The sequence below is a fragment of the Homo sapiens genome, chromosome 4 (assembly GCF_000001405.40).
Source record: "Homo sapiens chromosome 4, GRCh38.p14 Primary Assembly".
NCBI classification, from domain to species: domain Eukaryota; kingdom Metazoa; phylum Chordata; class Mammalia; order Primates; family Hominidae; genus Homo; species Homo sapiens.
In genome coordinates, this window is record NC_000004.12 from 100800666 (window position 1) to 100813354 (window position 12689).

At 36.0% G+C, this 12689-nt stretch overlaps 1 long non-coding RNA gene across 1 annotated transcript in view, besides 1 other annotated feature; it reads right to left on the reverse strand.

Moving 5' to 3' along the window:
* Positions 10085–10929: an enhancer, noted in NCBI's record as "OCT4-NANOG hESC enhancer chr4:101731907-101732751 (GRCh37/hg19 assembly coordinates)". NCBI's record gives its function as "activates a minimal SCP1, AML or CMV promoter by ChIP-STARR-seq in primed H9 embryonic stem cells {active_cell/tissue: H9 hESC(primed)}" and the evidence as "EXISTENCE:reporter gene assay evidence [ECO:0000049][PMID:30033119]".
* The window catches only part of LINC01218 (long intergenic non-protein coding RNA 1218), a 68704-nt gene continuing 66768 nt past the window's right edge, over positions 10754–12689 (reverse strand). The window contains exon 5 of the long non-coding RNA NR_189167.1: positions 10754–12003. This is a non-coding gene — a long non-coding RNA (long intergenic non-protein coding RNA 1218). The remainder of the gene's footprint in view (positions 12004–12689) is intronic.

Consider the following 12689-nt stretch of genomic DNA (forward strand, 5'->3'; position numbering starts at 1 on the left):
ATTTGTTGTGATGTTTAAATTAGTTAATGCCTATAAAGTACTTAGGACAATATTTAGTACAGAGCAAACACTCAACAAATATTGCCAATTGTTCTCACCATTATTATTCATTTTCCTGGCAAAGTCCTTTGTAGGACTTTTACATTTTGAGTAAGGTGTGGGAGATTGGTGGAGTAGGTATACCAGGAAAGAGAAGTTATCAGAAATATGCAAATATAAGGCATGATAACATTTTTAAATGTTAGATGATAAAATTATCAGCAAGTACATTTGTTAGATACGCTGAAAAAAATATTAAACTTAAAAGCTGATTTCACATGTTCCCACAGCAATATTTCTCAAGAAAATATTTGCTCCCATTTCTACCTCCTTTTGACCACTGTAGCCAATACTCTCTAAACACCTATTATATTCCTGGCCTTCATCCATGTGATTGGGTTCCCTGCAGAAGAGCACTCTGATGGGGCATTGTGCTGACCCATGATGGTCAGGTAATAAGAGCATGACATAAACTTTTGTTACTGAAAGCCACGAAGACTTAGGGGCTGTTAATTGTTGCAGCATTACTCTGCCTCAGCTGACTGACAGACCATGAATGAAAAGCCCACATTCATACTTTTAAGTAGATACTCTAAATTCTCTGAATACAAAGTTAAGTGAGAGATCATCTAGCCGAACTAGTAGATTGTAATGTCTCTAGAGAAGGAAAAACAAGAAATATTTAAGTAGCTATGGGTGTAAGATTTAAGCAATAGTTCTCAAAATTATCCTAATACCCTACATCTAGAAAAATTAGTTATCTATACGTTGAAATGAAATTCATACATGTTATGCACCAGTAAGTGTAACTTTCTAAAAATTTAAAACAATATCCTAATTATTATAAAAAGGAGATATAAAATATATTGATGAGGTAATATGTGTTTCAATGTTACAATAAACATGTATTTCAACATGTAAATGCACAGGCAAGACTATATCTGAAGGCATCGATGTAATATAACAGAGGTATAAGAAAATGTAAGTGTAGAAGTCCAAGAGGCTACTGGAATTAGAATCAATGATAGGGTATTTCCTTAATGTAAATGACGAGTTAATGGGTGCATCACACTAACATGGCACATGTATACATATGTAACAAACCTGCACGTTGTGCACATGTACCCTAGAACTTAAAGTATAATAAAAAAAGAATCAATGATAGGGTATTTTATAACACAGTAGATTTGTTATGATGATAAAGAAAAAAAGAAAAAACCTTAATTAAAGTAGTGATTAAAAATTTAAGTAATTAAAAAGCAAGTAAAAATGCAGAAGTATATTTTTACAAATTAGCTGAGCCTTTCTTATAACACTTATGTCAAAAGAATTTACTCAATATATCTGTTATGTAAAGTAAAAAATGCATCAAAGAAAAGATATCTCTTACTTTAAAAATCCCAACATATGACAATGCATGAAGAAATATCTTGTATAAAAAAGACTTTGGGCATACAGTGGATTATCACTCAGTAATAAAAGGTACAAACTATTGATACATGCCACAACTTAATTGAATCCCAAAGGCATAATCCTGAGTAAAAGAAGACAATGTCAAAAAGTTATATACTGTATGATCCAAGTTACATGGCATTCTTAAAAAAGACAAGGCCTATACTGACCTTAAAGAAAATAGATCACTCATTGCCAGGACTCAGGAGTTAAGTGTGTGACTTCCCTGAGGGGCAACCTGAGAAGGATTTTTGGAGCAATGGAACTATTCTGTATCTTGGAACTGTTCTGTATCCATACACTTGCTAAAACTCATACTGCTATACAAACACACACATACACAAAGGACACCAACTCTACTGTATGTTTATTTAAAAAAAAGACAGTTGTATTAATCAGGGGGTTCTTCAGAGAAAAAGAATCAATAGGGTGTGTGTGTGTGTGTGTGTGTGTGTGTGTGTGTATAATAAGAGAGATTTATTAAAAGCAATTGGCTCACATGATTATGGGGGCTGGCAAGTCCAAATCTGCAGTGTGTGACAGCAGACTGGAGACCCAGGAGAGCCAATGCTGCAGATGAAGTTCAAAGACAGTGTTCTGGAGAATTTCCGCTTGCTTGGGAAGGCAGGCCTTTGTTCTATTTAGGCCTTCAACTGATTGTATGAGGCCCATCCTCATTATGAAGGGCAATCTGGTTTGCCCAATGTTTGCCAACTTTAATGTTAATTTAATCCAAAAACATCCTCCAAGCTGACACATAAAATTAATTATCACAACCCTGGATGCAATATCCTTCAATAGGCAACTAGAAATTAATGGTAGATTGGAAAAAAAAAAAAGGAATATAAGAGATCAGGTTAAATCAAGATGCATCCAAAACATAAATAAATAAATTATTTCTACATAACTTTCACAACATTTATTACCAACTGACTTACACATTGAAGTGTTTATGACAGAAAAAAAAGAATTTTTGAAACAGACTTTATTAATTACATTTAAAACAGACTTTATTAACTACATTTAGTGACATTCCTGTATTTTTTTCTATTTATTGAGTAATGCTTATTTTTAAGTCAATCTCTTAAGGAAATCTCAAATTTTCAAATCTCTTTCATTCCAAGTAGTGCTCACTTTGTATGGTACTGTGTTAACTGAAACTGAGTATATCAGAATTGTGCAAAGCAAGGACACAGCTTCAATATGCACGTTTCAGTTAAAATGATGCCATGCAAAATGAAGACTGCCTGTGTATGTTTGACTGTTACAGCTACAAATGCAAGCTGACACAGGTGTATATATTAGCAGCTCTAATACCACAAATAGCATCATTGTCGGTGATGTGCATTTCCAAAATTGTAAATCATTCTTGGTAAATTTCCTAACAAAACAAAGAACAATTCATTTTTAGTTGTCATAGTGTTTGCATTCCTAAGAAAATTCGTATGTATTAAATGTTCAAAAATTACTTTATATGTATATCCCTAGCTTCCTGTCTGCTAAATGTCAGAAGACCCTTCCCCATACTGTGAAACATAAATTCAACCCCCACCAAATTTTCAAAATACTTCTAAGAAAGGATACCCTCCAACAAAATCACCACTTACAGCTTTAAGAAGATATCATAAAGACTACCCACTTAAAGTCCTAATACAAATTAGACTGTATTAAATTTCGGAAGACATTTGTTATACATGTAATGACTGGACAAAGCAAGTATCTTAAAGTTTAGGGATCTCTGACCTTTAACGTTCAGATTAAAATTGCTCATAAAATCTTGGTCCATTAGCAATTCAGACAGAGAGAAAGGCTACCTTTGTTCCTCACATACAGTGAATGCTCAATAAATTTAATTGAAATTCAAGGCAGGCAAACTTGGTTTTGCTTAAAAAAAATTGGGATAATTGGTATGGTAATTCCTAAACTGACTTCAGTATAGGGGAAAATAATTCACCCAAAAAGCACAGATTTTCTTTAGTTTCTTTGGTGTACTATTAGTTTTCCTTTTGCTGTTTTACATCAAAACCAGTAACTCCTGCAAACTGTATTCTCAAGGTAATAAGGAGAATCATAGGAGAGGCTATGGCCTTAATATGAACCAACCCAAGGACAGATTGAAGGTAAAAATGTTGGCTTTGAAATCATGCATTAAATGCACAATGTTATTCAGCTCATGACAATAGATACTTTGTTGTTGTTTTGTTTTGTTTATTCAAAAATTTTATTTGCAAACTAAATTTCCATAATACATTGCCAAGAGAGTATAACTGTTATCTATGTAAATGTTTGTGGTAATATACTAAAATAGGAATTTACTACTTCAGTTATGCTTCTGATAACATCATTTCATTTTGGATCATTCAAAGACAGTTGGGTCCTTGATTATAAGACACACTGTCTCTATTTCTAGAAAAATAAAGTAAAATAAAAAAATATGCTTCTAAAGAATTGTTTATCACTTGATAATTACAGAGCCCTTGAAGCTATTCTCTATATTTCAAGAACTCTTATTTTTTCCCTCGGGATCAAGCAGTTCTTTGTTTTAATTTATTTTCCTCTTAAATACCTCCTGCTATTTAAGCAATAATTCCTTCCAAATCAATTGTTAGCAGCAGTTAATGAATGGTTGGTTAATTAATAGCTCAAAGCAAAGCTGAGGGTGTTCCATGTTCTAACAAACCACCAGAGTCTAACTGGGGTATTATTGTTACTATACCCTGTAATCAGTGGCTTCTCACAGCATTGTGGCTACGTATTATTTTATTTTTACTAAACAGAATGAGTTAAATGGGAAATAGGTGACAGCATTATAAAATCAATTACAATAATATACATTTTCTAAAATTATTTGCATGTCCAGATTGATTTCTTATTTCCATAGGATGTGCCAGAAGGCAGGGGGGTGAAATGTCAGCTTGTGCCGGTTAGTAAACTCATTTAACGGTAGCAGTTTCCTCTCTTCAACCCTCCAGGGCTCCAAGCCTGATTATCTGCAAAAGCCTCATGGCATTTCAAATGTTTTCTGATTCAGAATTGTGGCACTGCACTCACTGACAGCAAAAGGAAAGAAACTGTGCTGCACATTTTCTGCCTGATAAACATACGGTTTACTTAACAACACCAGATATGCCTTCTGTATGGTTAATAGACGGGATATGTGCTTAATAATTACTGCAAGAACCTAAATATCAAGAGTCCTCAAATTCTATTCCTAAAACCTCCTGCCTTGTTCTATGTGACCACAGGGAAGTAATTCAGCAACTTTGTGCTTTGTTACTAAGAATTCTAACAATCAACCAAAATCAAAGACAGCTATTCCAAAAATGAGCCTAGAGATGCTATTATGTCCTTGAATTTTGCCTTTATTAGAAATATATTAATAAATGTGTTGCATGGAAATAAATGTCAGGCATATATTTTGTGATTTACTAAAGCAGTGCTTTCATTGTTCTATATCGTCCTTTCAACTACCAACTCCTTGAGATGGTATTGAAATGGAAAATGTTCCCTTATCCCCCTCACAGGGTGTGCGATGGGGGTGTGGCTCACTTCTTCGTGCCCTGCTGCTCAAACCCCTAGGGGGAGCATGCAGACGGATAGGTTGTGGGGCTCCAACCCCATGGCGGTGTCTAGGAGTGAATGTTTACAGCTCCTGAAGCCCCAGTGGGCGTGTGTTACAGGGTGCTCTTTTAGTTTAGCTGTCCATAGGCAGCTTGTGTTAGTCAGCTCAGTTAGGCCCTCTGCCGTATCACAAAAACAGAGGGCTTTCTGTATCCTGGGATTCTTGCCTTGGTGTACCGGAAGAACTGGATCACACCTGGAGAATGAGTGCAAGGTTTCCTTGAGTAGAGATAGCTCTCAACAAATGGGGGAGACAGAAGGGGAGGAAGTGGGAAAGTGGTTTTCCCCTGGAGTTGGGCCACTCAGCGGCCAGGCTGTTCTCCAACTGCCCCGGCTAAACTCCTCGTTGTTCCACTGGTCGATGGCCTCCATTCCTGCCAACGTCTGTTGGTGTGCTTTTCTGCCAACGTGCTCCCCTTGACGTCCTCTCGACGTCCAGCCACTTATGTCTCTGTCCACTAGAATCTCAGGGTTTTTATAGGCACGGGATGGGGACATGGAGGGTCAGGGTGGTCTTGGAAAATGTAACATATGGGCACGGAGGCAGGAGTGCCTGTCCTCACCTAGGTCCATGGGCACAGGCCCGGTGGGTGAAGCACTAACCAGGGACCTACTTTTCTCTACCTAGCACTTCCCTGCCCCCTCCCATATCAGTATTGGCAAGATAGCTCTGATTTTATCGTTTATTCCTCTGTGTACTTACAAAATGTTGCGATACCAAGGGTAAATCTGTGTGGAATTAGGGTATAAACATTAATTAATATTCTGGCTTCTGTATTTCAATGTAATAAACTATTGCCTGATTAAAGTTGAGATATCACCATGTAATAATAAGTCTCAAATCCCAATTTCAGGAATTTGTTGGCAGCACAGTGTCATAGGCTTTCAGAGATGATAGTGGAAGAGAAAAGTTGATGGAGCCAGAAACAGTAATGAAAACTATAGACTATTCCTGAATAGAGAACTCTGAAGGAGAAAAGAGATGGAAGATAAAAAATCACTGAATAAATAAAAAAAGGCCACAATAAAGATTTTGTCAAATATATAGCAAGTAAAGGTCATATTCATGTCATATACTCATTCTCGTGAGAATCACAAATAATGCTTTTGGCTGAGTCACAAAGTAAGTAAAACCCAAAGCTTGTATCCCCTGTTCTCTGACAGTATTTCAAACTTGGTTAGCAAGCTGTTGCCCAGATTTTTGTTAAAGGTTATTCATTTGAATCTCCAGTCCAGGTATATTTTATTATTTTCACAATTTCTAAAATTTCATTCTTCACTAAACTGCCTCAAATTGCCAGAATAAGCAAAACATGTCCATTAAGATAATAATTGTCCAAAAAGCTTCCTGTCTGCAGAGATGATTAATGACTTAAAAGATTAAAATATCCCCAGAAATGACTTTTTAGCTAAACCAAGTCCCTAAGTGAATTACCCTCCCATGAGTCTACCTTTAATGGTATAAGCTTTGAAATATGATGTTTCTATCAGAAATATAATAGATACTCTCTACTTTGCAGCCATTTGAACAGCATTTTCAGATTTAGGGGGAATAAATTTATTTAAATTTTGACAGTGGTTTATTTTAACTTTATTATTAATACTACCATAATATTAATGGACAAAAATAACTTCTGCTTGCTGAGTATCTAAGCTATTCTAAGTTCTGGTCCTTATTTTATTTAACCCTACAATAAATCTGTCTGGTTAGTGTTTTTATATACATTTTATTGTGCATACCAAAGATACAAAGGTGCAGAAGTGTTAAGTGTTTTGGCCAAGGTCAGCCAACTAGCAGTGAGCAGAGCCAGGATCCAAACATAAGTCTGCCTGACTCCAACACTGTTATATCAAATAAGTGGCACTGACCCTTGAATCTCACATCAGTCTCTAAATCAGAATGTGTTACTTCTGATGATGACACAATCATCCTTTCTGTCTTTCAAGTTCCATTTTCGTGCAAATTTTGCTTTATGTTTTCCTAACTTCTAGGTCAAACCGTAGAAGTGTCTGGAGCAGAAGACATAGGGAATGCAAGGGCGTTCTTGCCTTCTGTAGTCTTCCAGTTAAGAATCACATGGCTGACCCTGAAATAGAATTCCCCACCTTAAAGCCCATTTTGATGGCTCAATGGAAACCTATGGCCAAACAAACCAAAAGTGATCAAGATATGGACCCAAGTGCCGTAAGAGCACTCAAAGTTTATTTTACTATGTTCAGAAGTGCTCAGGGCTTGTTTTACCGTATTCACTAGGCTTTATTGGGAATCAGTAATGGGAAAGTATGCCTTATAGTGCCCTGCAGAAGAACTTGGTCTAGTAGTTCCACTGAAGGAAGACTGAACAGTTCACCTGAGGCATTCACAAATGAGCACAATGCAATAATGTGAGAACCAACAGCAACCTTTGGGACTTCTAAATGATCTTGGCAATAATTATAGCTGTGGGTCTTGAATCAGCAATAATACTTCTACATTTGTCAAAGTAAGGGGAACAAAAACTGTATACATGTTCTACTTGTATCAAAGGCAGATATTTTTCTTTTATTAATGCAGCTTTTCTTTCATGTCAACAACCTAGACATCTCTGCTTTAAGGCAGGCTGCCATGTAAGCCTGTCACAGCTATTAATTAGCTATGGGTTAAAAAGCTAAGCATAGTCTATGACTGTGAATTTAGGATCACTCTGTGGTAGAACATGCAGCAATATTTTAGTCAGTTGGGCTATGTTTACTTTATGTAAGAATGCAAGAAGAAATAAGCCATACACAATAAATTTATTTCTCACACACAAATGAATCAATATATTTGCCTTTGAAACCACGCTAATTATTCACACAGTTTGGCAAGTATTCAAAATACTGCAGCAGTGGAAACTAATGCAATAAAAATAATTTTCACACATTTTTCATTTTCTGTGAGAGTTGTTCTTCCAATTCCCTTTCTAAGTGTTTATAGTTCATAGAAACTGTGTAATATCTAACAAATTGTATTTAGAGAACTATATTTTCTATTCCTTCGTATTACATCATGGGCAAATAATAATCCAAGAATGTGTTGTTGAAAAGTAAAGGAGGCAACTAGAGTTTGTTTGCAAGTTTCCAATTTGCAAAAGAGAAATTTCAGGCTATGGCTCAGCTTTAGAAAGGAAAAGAAGTCAGGCCCAGACTGAGGGGACAAACTCATATAGGGAGGGGCTAATGATTGGAGTAGTGGATTGCTTGGCCTAAGTTTGAATCTTAGGGACAGTTTAAAGAGCAGACATAATTAAAGCAAGCCACCAACTGGTAGAAATATGCTCCTTGGCTAAGTCTACATTTACCCATTTACATTTGACTACCAGTGAGTGTGGGAAGAAAATGGAGGAGGCAAAGCTCAGGGTAAATCATGTCACAAACACTGGTAGAGACATCCAGTTCCATTCACTCAATTAGTTGAGGAAATAAGAGCCATCTCTTTTCTTTTTATGCATGAGCAAAGAAAACAGTCACTTTACCCTGTTTTTATGTGAATAGCAATCATAGATATTTAAGTCTGTCCTAGAACAAGCAAACAAACAAACAAAAAGGCAAATCTTCATTATTTCACTCTGTTAAACTGTTTTTCCTAAGGTGTGCCTTTCATAACGATGGGTGTCCAAAAGTTATGCAGTCATAGCCAACAGAATATACTCTGCAGAACTAAGAAAGAGTAGCATTCAAAAGTTTCACTTAATTTTGAATATGTCCAAGTTTTTAAAAACCACTTATTAAATAAAATATATTATATCTTCCTACCTAGAAAAGCATCCTTTAACACCACCCAAAAAACCAGATTGGAATTTTGAATTCTCAGATGTCTTGTTGCATGATGGAAGGCAACAGGCTCAGGATCTATGTCCTGGACTGTGAAGCTTGTGGAAAGTTATTTTCTAAATCTGCTCCAATTTTCCAACACGATTCCCAGAATGTACAGATCAAAACTTAACAGATTATGCTCTACTTCGGAAAGAAAAGAGGTATATACATATTTTGGAAAGATATCTATCCAAAATAGTTTCAGCACTCCAAAGAGTAATTTTTATTTGTCTGAAAATGCACTTAGAAGAATAAGTTCATTCCTGAGTAACCAAATAAATGTGAATTAACTGGACTTAACAAGAGTTGGGCTAATCACAAACATACATTAGACATTTCTTGGCTTTTACATGTTATCTCATTGCCACATGAAAATATTAGTTTTGTTTTGTGGCACCCACAGTCAAAGCTTGACGAGGCTGACTAAAGGGCTTTTTTTTTACAAGTAGCTTTCTTTATAGAAAATGCAAAACTCATGTTTTTTGTAGTTTAATTTTTAAATATTTTTTATTGTCTTTATTTTTTCTTTCCTTTTTTTTTTTTTTGGATGGAGTCTTGCTCTGTTGCCAGGCTGGAGTTCAGTGGCATAATCTCAGCTCACTGCAACCTCTGCCGCCCGGGTTCAAGTGATTCTCCTGCCTCAGCCTCCCTAGTAGCTAGGACTACAGGTGCGTGCCACCACACCCAGCTGATTTTTGTATTTTTAGTAGAGACGGGGTTTTACCATGTTGGCCAGGATGGTCTCCATCTCTTGACCTCATGATCCACCCGCCTCAGCCTCCCAAAGTGCTGGTAGTACAGGCGTGAGCCACTGCACCTAGCTAATTCATTTCTTCTTTAATTCACTCTTTCATCACCTATTATTTACCAGGAACTCCTTCAGGTATGAGATTTACACATATGAAAAAGATAAATTTTTGCCTTCAAAGGACTTATGATATTATTTGACCTACCCAGGATTAAATATTTACATTCGATAATATTCAAATGCTATAAAAATGTCTAAACACTTTCTCAAGAAAAACCGAATTACAGTAGTTTGCAGAGATTTTATAACAGCAAGGCACAATTTGAAGAGTTCAGCTTTATATATGGGAAAGCAACATTCTCAAGCAGGCCAACAGCTTCAATTGGGTTAATACTATTAGGAATTATTAAGCCTGCCTTCCTCCTATGAGTAACTAATTCGTATTGAGCGCTCACTTTAAGCAATTCTAATTTTCATGTTTATTATATTATTTATTTCCTCATTAGAACTACATAGGATCAGAAGCCTCCATCCTTTCTCACAGGAGAGTATCATTTGAGACTAGCAGCTTTGGAAGTCTCACAGCTTTTTAAATTTTAATTCCTGGCTAGAAAAAAAAAGTTTAATTCTATGTTCTGTACAGTGTGTAACTCCATGTCTTTGCTCAATAAATGTTAAATACCAATAATAACTATGGTGGTAATCAGAATTTCTTTTCATATAAACTAGTTCGTCTCAACCTTGTTTTTACCCTGTGTCTCCTAGTAATTGTCTGGCATTTTCCCTGCTGTTCTTGTCTTTTTTAATTACATCCTACTGACATGACTCTTAAAGCATCTTGAAGCAAATGGAAGAAAGGCTTAATGGTTTCTACACAAAAGGAGCAGCAGGACACAGATGCCTAGCAGTCAGAACAATAAACTCAAAAGAAATGGGCAAGATCTTGCTTTGCTTTCATTCCTCATAAATGGAAAAGAGGATGACGGGGGAGAGTGAGAGTACAAGGGAGGAAGGAAGAGGAATTTGCTTGCATAGGTTTACTGATGAGGGCAAACACAATTTTCTTTGTTTTTGTTTTATTGGGAAGAGTTGGTACGTTATATAATTCACAGACACAGCATAAGACATTTGCTTAGGATTGGGTAAGGAAGAAGAAGATGTGCATATCAATGTCATTTGTTGACAGATATTGAGCATCTATCTCACAGGAAACACACTTGTGGCCCAGTGGAGAAATATAAATTTCACCCGGTCTCCATCCTTAGAGTTGCAGATTGGAAAATAAATCATTTTCAGAGACCCATGGCTGGTTGTCGGGGCTTTCTCCATAGCACCCTGGATTTCAAACGTCAGGTAGACTTAAGAATACTGAAGTAATGCCAACTGTTAAAGCACCATTGAGACCATCTTAACCTAATGGTTAGTAGCACTAGCTTTGGGACAGTATAGCCTACCATATGCACTACTTAGGTTACAATAGAGTTGCTATAACTATATATGAAAGCAAGGAACATATATTGACAGCCTATTATGTGCACTTTTGCTTGTGCTGCTTCATATGATCAGGTGGCCAACTCTGCAAGGAAGCATTCCCTTCATCATTTTCCAGTTGCAGAAACCATCTAACAGACAAGTAACATTCCTAAAGCCATAAGTAGCCAAGCCAGGAGTTCTACCTGGGTCTATCTGACTCCATATTCAGTGTCCCTCTTGTTAACAAGTGCTAGTGAATGATTTGAGAAGAAAAGGAAACAAAGTTAAAAACTTGATTTCATATTATTCTGGCCTTGATAGGAATGAGATTTACAATTTGTGCTCCTGAAGAGGTTGTGTGTGGTAGGGATGAGAGGGAATGGTGGGCCTCGGTAAGAAGTAGGAAATTTATGTTTAATGACTGCAAATGTTATCTTCTCCTTCTCTAACCATATTATAATTTCTGTAGAGTATCACAAAGGTGGTGGAGTCAACAAGAATGAACAGAGAAGTACAAAATTATCAACACTTAGTGATCCAAAGAACAGCACAGGACCGGTTTTCAGTAGATGAAGAGCAGTCTCTGTAGAACAACACTTCCATATGCAGTGGGCAAGCCATTTACCCTCATCCTGGCCTGAAGAATATCTACATATCTGCTCTTTTTTTGTTGTTTAATTTTGCTGGTTATTGATTAGGAGACACAGCCATCTTCATCCACTGGAAATTTACACTTTTACTTCCCCTATTATCACAGTCTGAAATGCCTTTTTTTAAACATTGTTCTTGGTGAAATTATGGTTATTCTTCAAGTTGATCCTTCCTTGGTCTTCAGTCTGCCAGCAAAATTAATAATTCCATTACGCATTTTATTTCTTCTCCATTAGAAATAGATTCTTTATTAGATAATCTAACAAAGGTTGTAAAAACTATTTCCTCCACAACATTTTGAGCAATTCAAGATGTTTAAATCATATTTACATACCATGCTTTGGGCATTCTGCCTACCTAGTACATAGCTGATATTCAAAATATAAATTCTAAAAAGTGAATAAAATTTCCATTGTCGTTAACTCTGGTTAAATAGTCATGGAGGACCATTTAGTAACAAAGGGCATGCATTGGTCTAGCTGGAATGAATACACTTTTATTTTACTGTATTTTATTATATTTCATTGGTTACTTCCTTGAGGATTGATGTTTAAATTTAAACTGGTTTCATTCCCCCAAAGGTCAAACATTGGGCAAAGATTATTTAGAACCTTCTAAGCTATAGAAAGAAATCCCTGAAAAAACTTATATAATCTTCCAAAGTCAGTACATAATGCTAAGCCCATTCATACATTCTTTAAACCAATATTTATTAAGTTTCTGCATTATACCTAAGGAACCTATCACTGCACAGTTGCAGTCCCTGCCTTCAGAAAGTTTATAATTCAGTGGGAAACATGGACATATTAAAACTTACAACAATAGTTAATAAATTACAAATGTAAAAATGTAATTGTGATAAGTTCTATAG